General features: G+C 45.8%; 2 annotated features.

Moving 5' to 3' along the window:
- Nucleotides 11,909-12,287: a silencer, noted in NCBI's record as "fragment chr5:180463160-180463538 (GRCh37/hg19 assembly coordinates)". NCBI's record gives its function as "represses an EF-1alpha promoter that drives an FKBP-Casp9 reporter gene in an ReSE screen in phorbol 12-myristate 13-acetate-treated (for megakaryocytic differentiation) K562 erythroleukemia cells {active_cell/tissue: K562(+PMA)}" and the evidence as "EXISTENCE:reporter gene assay evidence [ECO:0000049][PMID:32094911]".
- Nucleotides 12,532-13,458: an enhancer, noted in NCBI's record as "H3K4me1 hESC enhancer chr5:180463783-180464709 (GRCh37/hg19 assembly coordinates)". NCBI's record gives its function as "activates a minimal SCP1, AML or CMV promoter by ChIP-STARR-seq in naive H9 embryonic stem cells {active_cell/tissue: H9 hESC(naive)}" and the evidence as "EXISTENCE:reporter gene assay evidence [ECO:0000049][PMID:30033119]".

A 14,261-nucleotide genomic window follows, 5' to 3' on the forward strand; every position in this document is an offset into this window, starting at 1 on the left:
GGAATAAGCTACCAAGGAGGTGCCCCACCTTCTGCATCCTAATGACTGCAGAGCCCCAACTTCAGCTCTTCAGAACCTAGGCCCAGCACCCCAGCACCAGAATCCACATGACACTCTGCCTGTAAAAGTAGAGACAATCCTGCTCAGCAAAGAAGCTGAGTCTTTACCAGCTGTGTACACATTCAGCACACTCAGTAGCCAGGTGAGCTGGTGAATCTGAGCCAGGAGGCCCTCATGTATCCTGGTGCAATCACCAGTCTGGTGCACCACTTCTAGGGGGACCTCATCCCCAAACTGGCAAACTAGCTCCTGCATGCCACCTGCATGTTCACCAACTGTGCACATCACTTCCAGGGGGACCCCACCCCAAGCCAGCAAATGGCATATGGATCCCCATATGCCACCACCATGCTCACCAGCCAAACATGCCACTTCCACGGGAGCCTGGCCCTGAGCCAGTAAATTGGCCCCCATGCACTGCAGGCATACTCATCAGGCCAGTGTGCTGCTCCCAGGGAAGCCCTGCTATGAGCCAGCAGACCTGTCAATGCATGCAGCCAGCATGTTCACCAGCCAGGCACTCCACCCAGGGGAGCCTGGCTATGAGCTGATGGACCTGTCAATGCCTGCAGCCATGTGCTCATCAGTCAAGTGAACCACTCCCAAGAAAGCCCCACCCCAAGCCAGCAGATCAGCCCCTGTGCACCACTAGCACACTCACCAGCCAGGGTGTTGCATCCCTGGTGGTCCCAATCATAGGCAGGTTGGCCCCTGCACTTACTGGTGAGGCACACAACTCCCAGGCAATCCCCATTCAGATCTGGCAGACCAGCTGCGTAAACTTCTGCAGCCTAGACCACTACAGCTGAAAAACTGCACAGAGACTACTGCGCCCATTCAAAACCAAAGCCAATGAACCCTACCCAAATGACACTCTAAGACATATCTGCAGGCAAAACTTTCCCTGCAAAAGCCACTCCATAATATCAGAGAAGGCAACCATTGCACCAGATCCACAGGTGTTAATGCAGGGACACAGGAAACATGAAAAAGGAAACATGAAGTCAATGAAAGAGGACAATAATTCTCTAGTAACTGACCCCGAAGAAATGGAAAGTTATGAATTGCCTGAAAAGGAATTCAAAATAATGATCTTAAGAAATGCAGTGAGAAGCAAGAGAATACAGATAGACAATAAAATGAAAAAATAAGCTATGACCTGAATAGAAAATTCAACAGAGATAGAAATCATAAAGAACCAAATAGAAATCTTGGAACTGAAGAATTCGATGACAAAAAAAAAAAATGTAATTGGGAGCTTCACAACAGGCTATATCAAACAGAAGGAAGAATTTCTAAACTCAAAGACAGGTCTTTTTTTTTTTTTTAATCATACTTTAAGTTTTAGGGTACATGTGCACAACGTGCAGGTTTGTTACATATGTATACATGTGCCATGTTGGTGTGCTGCACCCATTGAAGTAACCTAGTCAGAGGAATGAAAAAGGAAAAAAAATGAAAAAGAACAAAGAAAGCCTACAGGACTTAAATGACTATTAAGCAAAGAAACTTTTGCATTATGAGAGTTCTAGAGGAAGAAGAGATGGTGAAAGGCACAGAAAGCTTATTTAACAAAATAATAGATGAAATCTGCCCAAGCCTTGGAAGAGATATGAACGACCAGACCCATAAATCTTAAAGGACCCTTTATAGATTCAATCCAAATGGATCTTTGAGGTATATTATATTCAAACTGTCAGAAATCAACAACAAAGACAGAGTTGTAAAATCAGCAAGAGAAAAGTAACAAATTACATATAAGGCAAGCTACAATAGACTGTCAGCGCATTTCTTAGCAGAAATCTTGCAGAATAGGAGGGAAAGGGATGATTTATTCCAAGTGCTAAAAGAAAAATGTTAGCCAAGAATAATAGACCCAGCAGAGATATACCTCAGAAATAAAGTATTTCCCAGACAAGCAAAAGCAGAGAGAATTCATCACCACAAGACTGGCATTACAAGAAACGTTTAAGAAAGTGCTTCATCAGCCGGGCACGGTGGCTCACTCCTGTAATCCCAGCACTTTAGGAGGCCAAGGCGGGAGGATCACGAAGTCAGGAGATCGAGACCATCCTGGCTAATACGGTGAAACCCCATCTCTACTAAAAATACAAAAAATTAGCCGGGAGTGGTGGCGGGTGCCTGTAGTTCCAGCTACTTGGGAGGCTGAGGCAGGAGAAGGGTGTGAACCCGGGAGGCAGAGTTTGCAGTGAGCAGAGATCACGCCACTGCACTCCAGCCTGGGCAACAGAGCAAGACTCCATCTCAAAAAATAAATAAATAAATAAAGTGCTTCATCTGGAAGTGAAAGGACAATAACTACTAACATGAAAACATATGAAGGTATAATCCTCACTGGTAGACATAAATTAATAATCAAATTCAGAATACTATATTACTGAAATGGAGATCTTTCAGATCTCCAGTATAAAACATCAAAACGATCAGTGATAACTATAAATTGTTAAGGAACACACAGTATAGAAAGATCTAAATTGAAGCCACAAGATTATCAATTGTGAGAGAGGAAAAGTCTAGAGTATTTGTGACAAAAGTTAAGTTGGTATCAGTTTAAAAGTCTATTAAAACTGGAAGATTTTTATGTAAGTCCCAGAGTAACCACAAAGAAAAAATTACAGCAGATACACAAATGAAAAGTAAAAGGAATCAAAGCTTATCACTACAGAAAACCAACAAATCGCAAATGGAACTAATAAAAAGAAACAAAGGATCTATAAAACAATCAGAAATTAACAAAATGGCTGGGGCAAGTTCTTACCTATCAATAATAACCTTGAATATAAATGGATTAAATGCTTCAATTAAAAGATATAGAGTGGGCCGGGCGCGGTGGCTCACGCCTATAATCCCAGCACTTTGGGAGGCTGAGGTGGGCGGATCACGAGGTCAGGAGATGGAGACCATCCTGGCTAACACGGTGAAACCCTGACTCTACTAAAAATACCAAAAATTAGCCGGGGTGGCAGGCACCTGTAGTCCCAGCTACTCGGGAGGCTGAGGCAGGAGAATGGCGTGAACCCGGGAGGCGGAGCTTGCAGTGAGCCGAGATCACGCCACTGCACTCCAGCCTGGGCGACAGAGCGAGACTCCGTCTCAAAAAAAAAAAAAAAAAAAAAAAAGATATAGAGTGGCTGAAAGGATTTTTTTTTAAAAAAGATCCAACTATATGCTGCCCACAAAAAACTCACATCACCTGTAAGGACACATATAAATGAAAAATGAAGGAATGGAAAATAATATTCCACATAAGTGGGAAACAAGAATAGGAGTAGCTAAGTTCACGTAAGATAAAAAGAGACAAAGTCATTATATAATAATAGAGGTCAATTCAACAAGTATAACAATAGTAAATACATGTACACCCAACAGTGAAGCAAATAAGCAATCATTATTAAATTTAAAAAGAGATGGCAATAATACAGTACTACGATACAATAATAGTGAAACGGGGAAAACGCCCCTTGTCCCCAAAGCAGGGCTTGTGGCTCACTCCTTCAGTGCCCCGCTGCTCATACCTCTAAGGGAGCATATGAGACGGGCAGGCTGTGGGGCTCCGAACCCAGGCAGTGTCTAGAGGTGAACGCTTACAGCTCCGGAAGCCCCAGTGGACGTGTGTTAGAGGGTGTTCTTTTAGTTTTGCAGTCTATATAGGCGGCTTGTGTTAACCAGCTCAACTTGGAGTGGGAAGGTTTTCCCCTGGAGTCAGGCCACTCAGCGTCCTGGGCTCATTTCCAACTGCCCCAGCAAAACTCTGCATCACTGTGCTTCTGCTGGTCACTGGCCTTCCGCGCCAGTTTCTCCAGACGTCCACCCCACCTGTGTGTCTGCCTGCTGGGGTCTGGGAGGTTTATAGGCACAGGTTGGGGGCGTGGCAGGCCAGGGTGGTCTTGGGAAACGCAACATGTGGGCAGGAAACGCCTGTCCACACCTAGATCCTTAGGGGTGGAGCCCTAGTCACGCCCTCCTCTACCCAGCGCTTCCCTTCCCCCTTCCGTATCATTTAAAGGGACCATGCTCTTCCCTTCCCAGCACTTCCCTTCAGTCTCAATAGCGGGAGACTTCAGCATCACGCTCTTAGCAATGGCCAGATCATCAGACAGGATACAAACAAAGAAACATCAGATTTAAACCACACACTAGACTAAATGAACCTATCAGACATTTACAGAACGTGCCGCTCAAGGCCGGGCGCGGTGGTGCATGCCTATAATCCCAGCACTTTGGGAGGCTGAGGCAGGCGGATCATTAGAGCCCAGGAGTTAGAGACAAACCTGGCCAACATGGCGAAACCCCGTCTCTACTAAAAATACAAAAATCAGTTGGGCATGGTGGCGCACTGCTGTCATCCCAGTTACTTGAGTGGCTGAGGCACGAGAATCGCCTGAACTTGAAAGATGGAGGTTGCAGCGAGCCAAGATCGCACCACTGCACTCCACCATGGACGACAAAGCAAGATTCTGTCTCAAACAAACAGACAAAAAAATGACACTCAAAAGCTGCAGAATACACATCTGTCTCAATAGCACATGGAACATTCTCCTGAACAGATCATATGTTAGGCCACAAAACAAAGCTTTAACAAATTTAAGATCTAAATCATTTCAAGTATATTTTCTAACCACAATGGTATAAAACTAGAAGTCAACATCAGGAGGAAATTTGTAAACTTTGTAAATACATAGAAATTAAATAGCATGCTCCTCAACAACCAATGGATCAATTAAAAAATTAAAAAAAAATTTAAACAGGTAAAATTGAAAACACAACATACGAAAACCTTTGAGATGCAGTTCTAAGCAGTTCTAAGAGGGAAGTTTATAGCAACAAACACGTATATTAGCCATGTGTGGTGGCTCACGCCTATAATTGTAGCAGTTTGGGAGAGAGAGGCAGATGGATCACTTGGGGCCAGGTGTCTGAGACCAGCCCAGCCAACACGGCAAAACCCTATCTCTACTAAAAATACAAAAATTAGCTGGGCATGGTGGCACATGCCTGTAATCCCAGCTACTTGGGAGGCTGAGGCACAAGAATCCCTTGAACCTGGGAGGCGGAGCTTGCAGTGAGCCAAGATCCCCCCACTGCACTCCGGCCTGGGCAACAGAGTGAGACTCTGACTCAAACAAACAAACAAACAAACAAAAAACCCACATTAAAAAAAGAAGAAAGACCACAAATAAACAACCTAATATGCACCACAAGGAACTAGAAAAATAAAAACAAACTAAATCCCAAATTAGCAGCAGAAAAGAAATAATTGCTATTAGAGCAGAAATAAGTGAAATAGAGACCAAAAATACAAAAGGTCAATGAAACAAAGGCTTAGTTTTTTGAAAACATAAACAAAATCAACATACCTTTGGCAAGACAAATACAAAAAAAAGAGAGAAGACTAAAATAAATAAAATCAGGGATGAAAAGGGAGACATTACAATTGATACCACAGAAATACAAAGAATCATGACAGAGTGTTATAAAAAATTGTATGCTAAAAATTGAATAACCTAGAAGAAATGGATAAATTCCTGAACACACAACCAAGACAGAATAATGAAAAAATAGAAAATCTGAGTAGACCAATAATGAGTGAGGAAATTGAATCAGTAATAAAAAAAAATCTTGCATCCAAAAACAAACAAACAAAAAAGCCCAAGACTAATGGTTTCATGGGTGAAATGTCTTTTTTTCACAGAAATAGAAAAAATATCCTAAAATGTATATGGAACCACAAAAGACAAAACCCAAGGCAATCTTGAGCAAATAGAACCAAGGTGAAGGCATCCCAATAATTGATTTCAAACTGTATTACAAAATGATGGTAATTCATCATGGTCCTGGCATAAAAATAGACATGTAGACCAATGGAACAGAATAGAGAGCCCAGAAACAAACCCATGATGTTATGGTCAATTTATTTTGGACAAAGGTGCCAAGAACACATATCAAAAAAACAACCAGTCCCTTTAATAAAGGCTATTAGGAAATCTGAATACCCACATGCAAAATAATAATAATAATAATAATTAGACCCCTGTCTCACATCATATATCAAAATTAACTCCAAATGGGTTAAAGTTTAATTATAAGATCTGAAACTATAAAACTACTAGAAGAAAACATAGAGGAAAACTCCACAACATTGGTCTGGGAAATGATACTTTGGGTATGACCTCAAAAGCATAGGATAACCCAATTTAAAAGTGGGGAAAGGACTTGAATAAATGTTTCTCAAAAGAAGACATACAAATGGCCAAGTACATGAAAAAATGCTAATCCTCGTTAATCATCAAATAAATGCAAATTAAGACAACAATGAGATATCACTTTCTAGCTGTTTGAATGGTTATTTTCAAAGAAATGAAAGATAAGAAGTGTTGGAGAGGATATAAAGTAAATGGAATTTTTCTACACTGTTGGTGGGGATATAAATTACTATAGCTATTATTAAAAACAGTATAGAAATTCCTCAAAAAACTAAAAATACAATTACCGTATGATCCAGCAACCAAGGAAATCAGTGTGTCGAGGAGATAGCTGTAATTGTGTTTATTGCAGCATTATCCACAATAACCAAAATATGGAATCAACCCAAGTGTCCATCAACAGATAAATTGATGAAGAAAACATGGTGTATATATATATTATATATATATAATGGAATATTATTCAGCCATAAAAAGAAGGAAATTCTATCATTTGAAACAACTGGATGAACCTGGAGGGAAATTGTGCTACATGAAATAAGCCAGGCACAAGAAGGACAAACATTGCATGGCCTCATTCACATGTGGCATCTAAAACAGTTTAACTCATAGAAGCAGAGAGTAGAAAGCAGTGGTTACTAGGGACTGGGTGGGGGATGATAGGGGAGATGTGGGGTCTCAGAATACAAAATTTCAGTTAGATAGGAATATGTTCAAGGAGTCTATTGTACATAATGGTATTTGCAGTTAATAACAATATATTGTATATTTGAAAATTGCTAGGAGTTTTTAAGTGTTCTCATCATAAATATTTGAGATGACAGATATATTAATTAGCTTGATTTAATCATCCTATATTGTCTATGTGTATTCCTATGCAATATATATGCAATGATTCTAGGTATGTGATATATATAACAACCTCACTTTGTACTCCATAAATATATAAAATTATAATGCTACTCTACAATAAAAATAAACTGAAAAAAGTAAAACATGATAACATAGAGTGTGGAATAATGGACATTGGAGACTCAGAAGGGTGGGCAGATAGGAGAGGGACGATGGATGAGAAATTCCTTCATGGATACCGTGTACACTATTTGGGTGATGGCTACACTAAAAGCCTACACTTCACCACTGTGCAATATATCCATGTATGAAAACTGCACTTCACCCCAAGTTTATATAAATAAATTTTTTTAATTGAAATAATTTTTTCAAAAGGAGTTAGGCCCACTTATTGTGCCTGGGGAAGGACAGATGGCCCTGAGGAGCCTCAAGGAGAGGAAGCAGAGTGGGTTGTAGAGGCTGGGCTGAGTCCAGGGACCAGAGGGAGCAGAGAGTCTAGGAGCATGCGGTGAGTGGCAGAGGTGATGGCCGGTTCCCTGTGTGTCCTGCAGGGAGTGGTAAATATGAGTCCAAGAACTGGCAGGTGATAGTCACGAAGGACATGAGTGTAGGCTGGGGCAGGCAGGGGCATTGTGTAGGAACAAAATGGTCAGCTCAGGGAATGTTGCTGAAGGAGGCATCAGAAACTTAGCTCCTGGGAGGAAAGGAAGAAAAAAAAGGTCAGGGAGGGTCCTGACCAGGGAACGGGCTGGCTACACACATACAGACACAAACACACATACAGAGGTATTTGTGTGTTTGTGAGGAGAGATAGAGAGAGAGAGAGAGAGAGGAGAGAGAAAGAGAGGAGGGAGAGAGGAGGGAGAGAGAGAGAGATTGATTTTGTGGGCTCTTCTGCGGTTTAAGCTCTCTTAATACTGAGAGGTGACAACGTGCTAGCAGCCCTGGTTCGCTCTGGGCGCCTCCTCCGCCTCGGAGTCGGCTCTGGCCGCGCTGGAGGAGCCCTTCAGCCCGCGCTGCGCTGTGGGAGCCTGTCTCTGGGGCTGGCCGAGGCCGGAGCCGGTTCCCTCTGCTCCGGGGAGTTGTGGAGGGAGAGGCCCTGGCGGGAGCCGGGGCTGCGTGCGGCGCTCGCTGGCCGGCGGGGGTTCCGGGTGGGAGCGGGCTCTGCGGGTCCCCACACCGGCCGGCGCCTACTGGACTTGATTGGGGAACTAGCTCCCTCTGGGCTGCTGGAGTGCCCGGGCTGGGTGCCGCAAAGTCTGCGCGGAGTGCCATTGAGAGGTGAAGCCAGCTGGGCTTCCGGGTCCGGTGGGACTTGGAGAACTTTTATGTCTAGCTAAAGGATTGTAAACACACCAATCAGCACTCTGTGTCTAGCTAAAGGATTGTAAACACACCAATCAGCACTCTGTGTCTAGCTAAAGGATTGTAAACACACCAATCAGCACTCTGTGTCTAGCTAAAGGATTGTAAACACACCAATCAGCACTCTGTGTCTAGCTCAAGGTTCGTAGATGCACCAGTCAGCACCCTGTCAAAATGGGCCAATCAGCTCTCTGTAAAATGGACCAATCAGCAGGATGTGGGAGGGGTCAGATAAGGGAGTAAAAGCAGGCTGCCCCAGCAAGCAGTGGTAACTCGGTCGGTTCTCTTGGACGCTGTGGGAAGTTTGTTGTTTTGCCGTTTGCAGTGAATCTTGCTGCTCACTCTTTGGGTGCATGGTGCCTTTATGAGCTGTTACACTCACAGGAAGGTTTGCAGCTTCGTTCCTAAAACTAGCCAGATGGCGAACCCACTGGGAGGGACAAACAAATCCAGATGGGAGGAACAAATAACTCCAGACGCGCCGTGTTTGTGAAGTGTAACACTTTGAAGGTCTACAGCTTCACTTCCTAAGGCTAACAAGACTACGAATCCACCGGAAGGAACGAACAACTCCAGACACAGCATCTTTAAGAACTGTAACACTCAGCGCGAGGGTCTGCAGCTTCATTCTTGAAGTCAGCGAGACCAGGAACCCACGAATTCTGGACACCGTACAGCCAACAAAAACCTAGCTGAGTTACTCACCTAAAACCTGACTTGACATCCTAGATTGGCTAGGACTAAAAAGTCTCATTGAATTACTGGAAACTTATTCCTATGAAAGTAATGCATGCTCACGTTTAAAGAGTAAAATTTGACAAAAAGCACTGTAGTAAAAAGCAACAATCTCCTAACCATGTTCCGTTCTGCATCTTTTCCCTATCTTTCCAGGTCTTGTTTTACCAGAGAAATAATTGCATGGCTTCTGTCTTGTGTTTGTCAGGTACTTCGTTATCTTTAAGTTATCTGTTTATATCACCACTTTCTGTTCACTCGTTTTGGTGGTTTTGTTCACCACCGGTTCACGTGTTATATGTCTCATCACTTTATTTTGTTACAGGCTCATTTTGCTTGAAATGTTTCAAGTATTTTATTTCCACAATTGTTAATGAGTAGTATAATTTTTTCCCTTCTGAAGTTTTGTAAAAGTTCCTTAGTTGAAAGGTATTTGTTCAAAAATGTAGCTGTAACCCTGGAGGAAGTGTAAATAGTAAGGACCCAGTAAGTCAGTGTTGATGACTCGCAGCCCTGACTCTCACAGCGTGGTGGTGCACACCTGTAGTCCCAGCCACTGGGGAGGCTGAGGCAGAAGGAGCACCTGAGCCCAGGAGTTCGGAGAGTGCTGCGGAGAGCTAGGATCACTGGACTGCATTACGTACAGCCTAGTTGGCAGAGTGAAATCCTGTCTCTTTAAAAAAAAGCCAAGGCCAGGTGCGGTGGCTCACGCCTGTAATCCCAGCACACTGGGAGGCCGAGGCAGGTGGATCACCAGGTCAGGGGATGGAGACCATCTTGGCTAACACGGTGAAACCCCATCTCTACTAAAAAAAAATACAGAAAATTAGCCGGGCATGGTGGCGGGTACCTGTAGTCCCATCTACTCGGGAGGCTGAGGCAGGAGAAGGGCGTGAACCCAGGAGGCAGATCTTGCAGTGAGCCCAGATCACGCCACTGCACTCCAGCCTGGGCGACAGAGCAAGACTCCGTCTCAAAAAAAAAAGCCAAATGATAACTCCTAATCCCCAAATCTAACATTTTAGAAAGTAATAAAATAATAACAGTACTCTTTTAAATACTTTAAAAAGTACTCTTTTAAACATTTCTTGCATTAAAGGACCTCTAGTATTTAGAAGGAAGGCACTGTTTGAAGCCCAGTTGACAATATTTTCCATATGATCTTATTTGATCCTGGCTCTGCTGGGGGTGTATTGGGACGCAGGGAGCACACAGTCCTGGTGAGGCCAGGCCGATGGGTCCTGACAGGCACTGCTCATTAAGACCAGGGTCAGAGGACTTGTAAGAAAAGCTGTTTCTAGGCTGACAACTTGTCAAAGTACAATTTTCAAAAAACTTTTAAAACATGACTCATTCAATTATAAAATGATCATGTGTAATAGATTTTATTCAGTCCCTTAATTTGAGGTAACCAATGACGTGGTAAAGACTAGTTCAGGAAGCACTTCAGGAATTATTTTTTAAAAAAAGGAATTAGATATTTAGAGGCAGTTTAATACAGAAACGTTGTGGTAAGACTGCTGCCTTATCTACAGAACTGGATAATCTCTTAGAAGGCGATACACCATAACCTTTTGGGTTGTATTTTTCTACTGGATAGAAATTATCTGGATGCATGCAGTGGCTCGTGTATATAATCCCAGCACTTTGGGAGGCTGAAGGGGGAGGATTGCTTGAGCCCAGGAGTATGAGACCGGTCTGGGCAACATAATGAGAACCTCATCTCTATAAAGAAAAAATTAAAAAATTAGCTGGTCACCTGTGGTCCCAGTGACATGGGAGGCTGAGGTGGGAGGATCACTTGAGCCTGGGAGGTTGAGGCTGCAGTGAGCTGTGACTGTGCCACTGTACTCCAGCCTGGGTGACAGAGCAAGGCCCTGTCTCAAAAAAGAAAAAAATTATTTGCAACTCTACTGGGCAAAAGTCTACAAGTTAATTATGCAAATTCACTAAATCTGGGGTTTTTAAGTAATGGCAAACAGTAATCAAAGTACACTTCCATAAGTAATCTGTGGCTGGGCCAGTGCCCACATGACACTGAAAGGACATGTTACCTACCTTTTTGCCTTATTTGGAAATTTAACATAATTTTTTTCTTCAAAAGTTCTCCTCCTGTTAAAGCAAACAGTATTATTTGTTCCCTAAAGGTGCCTGGAGAGAGTGTGGATGAAACAGGAGAACCCACCGTCTGCCGGGGACAGCAGGTTTGAATAACCAAGAGCACCCTCTTTAAGAAACGACCTGGTTATTTGTTTTTAATTTGTAATGGAGACAAGGTTTCACTGTGTTGCCCAGGCTGGTCTAGAACTTCTGGGCTCTCGAACTCCTGGACACAAACAAGACCCTTGTTTCAGCTTCTCAAAGTGCTGTGATTACAGGCGTGAGCCACCACGCTCAGCTCCCCCTAGTTTATTATTATTATTATTACCACCTGTTTATGCAACTCAAACCCTGTCAAACTGCGTTTTGGCTGGCTCTCTGAAAAGGTGTAATATAAGGGCACCAACCCACTTCCCTCCTACAAATGGTCGGGACTCAGATGAGCACTGTTTTCACAGGGTCTCCTCCATAACCAATGGTCGGGACTCAGATGAGCGCTGTTCTCACGGGGTCTCCTCCATAACCAATGCTCACTCTACCTGGCGTAAGCCCGCAGCTGGAGCTCCTTATTCTACCCACTTCTGTGTGTCAGGAGAAGGTGCTGGCTACTTCTTGCAGTGAAGGAATTCCTCCGAGCTAGGGATGCTCCGTGCTGATCCCTTTGGGCAGCACCACTCAAGTCACCCTCGAAAATGGCTTGCCTTGGCGAGGTCAGGCTGTTTGGGAGTAGAGGGTGTGTGTGGCTCCTGCAGCCCCCACAATCTCAGGAGCCAAAGATGAGCACCTGTGGCTGTGAGGGCAGCAGTGGGCCTCTCCTATCTCCCAGTGCCTGTGCACGTCTCTATCTGTGTGACAAAGCACAATGGGGGGCACTGTGCCAGCTGACAGGCACAAGAATGTCAGTGTGAGCTCCCTGGAGAACGGAACAGGAGAAAATGAAAATGCAGTAAGGAAGCTCAAGGGCCATGTTGTGGGCTGCCGGGGAAGGTGGATGGGGGATCGTCAGAAAAGGAGGAATTCACTACTTGCGAGGCTGGCATGACTTTGCTTCTATCTCCACTGGTAGCCCACGCTGGGCGTGAGAATAGCCTTTGCCCTGGGGATGAGGATTCTCCCATTAGCCCCTCCAGAATTCCCTCAGACGACCTCATGGTGAGGGCTGCTGTGCACCACGGAAGCTATATAATGGGGCATGTTCTCCGCTGTCCAAGTGATGGCTCCATGCTGGCCTGGCTAGCCCCTAGCCTTTCCTACCCCACACGTGCCAATCACCTCCCTCCACGTGATGGCCGCTGCCATCACAGGGGCTGCAGCAGGGAGGCCTGGCTGGGGCTGCATACTTCACGGAGCCAGTAAGAGCTCTGCCCCTTCTGAGATGGGGCGGGAGCTCCCCGGGTACCGCTGCAGTCACCCAAACTGTGACTGCAGACCCAGGCCTCCTGCTGTACAGATCAGGCAGGATCCCAACCCTCCTGTGTGGGTCTACAGCCACCCAAACTGCAGCTGTGGATCCAAGCCTCCCTGAGCTCCTGGGTGGGAGCCAGGGGCAGGCAGGATCTGCCCTTCTGCGTGCAGCTGCAGCCACCCAACCCACAGCTGCAGACCTCAGCCTCCTGCTCCACGGAGGAGGCAGGAGCCAGGACAAGCAGGAGCCCTGCCCCTTCCGAATTGATGGGGCAGGAGCTCCCCGGGTGCAGCTTCGGCCACCCTCCCAGGAGCAGGACCCCGGCATCTGTGCATTCTGCACCTCCAGGGCCTGGGAAGAACCACCCTGTACCCAGCCCCCCAACCCCCATCCCTGCAGGCTCAGGGCTGTCTGCTTCCCACTGCCTGGCCTCTCTCTGCTCCCACTCTCAGAGCGGGGTTGGGGCCTAGCCAGGGACCATAAATGGCAGTGGGAGGCAGACAGAGTCCCTGGAGGGAGAAGGCGGGTCCCCAGTAAGGCCCCGCCTTCAGGCCAGGGAGGGCCTGAAGGCCTGGCTGCCAGTCCCTCTGACTGGAGTGGGGACTTGTGGTGTCTCCCTCTGGCTGCCCATGGACCAATCAGCATGCACTTCCTCCCCTCTGAGGTGCATAAAAGCCTGAGGCTCAGCCAGAGCAGGGCAGAGGATGGAGAAACGATGGGATGGCCAGCTGCAGAGAGGAGCTACCCTCTCTGCTGAGAGCTTCAGAGACCTGCAGAGGTGTTCAGAACAACTTGCCTGTGGAGAGGAGCCACTCTCTCCAGGGACTTCTGTCTGCTGAGAGCAGCAGGTGGCAGGAGGACCAGTGGGCAGAGAGGAGCTACCCTCTCAAGGGCCTTCTCTGCTGAGAGCTGAACACTCAGTGGGAGGGGAGGACTTACCTACAGAGAGGAGCTCACTGCAGATCACCTCTGAGCTGTTCTAGCATTCAATAAAGCTTCTCTGCATCTTCTTCACCCTTCACTTGTCTGTGTACCTCATGACCTCATTCTTCCTGGAGGCAGGACAAGAACTCAGGTGCCACAGAGGTTTCTGGGAAGAAAATTGACACCCAAAAATCCCACACAAGGACAGATGAGGGTCCATTCTCTCCAGTGGCACCTATAGTCCGCCAGGGGTTCAGCACCTACCTTCATTTTGGATCTGAGCCTTTATGCATTTACTGGGTCTTGGAATGGGAGGTTCGGCTGGCAGGGACAGCCGCTGTCTACATCTTTCCTACTGCATGATGCGCCTGATATGCAGGCGGTGGTGGCAGGTGGGGTCCCCCTCCCACATCCCACCAGGGCTGTGTCTAGGAGCCACAGAAGTGGACTCTGCCCATTTCTCTCTCTCTTTGCATTTCTGCTGTGACAATCTCACCTCTCCCCAGGCAGCATGGAGGAATCCAACCTAAGGGCAATGAAAAGTTTAGGCCATGTTCTCGTTTTCGAGCAGCCCCTCTCTACAAGTGCAATTTTCC

Source organism: Homo sapiens, chromosome 5, assembly GCF_000001405.40.
Source record: "Homo sapiens chromosome 5, GRCh38.p14 Primary Assembly".
Lineage (NCBI taxonomy): Eukaryota > Metazoa > Chordata > Mammalia > Primates > Hominidae > Homo > Homo sapiens.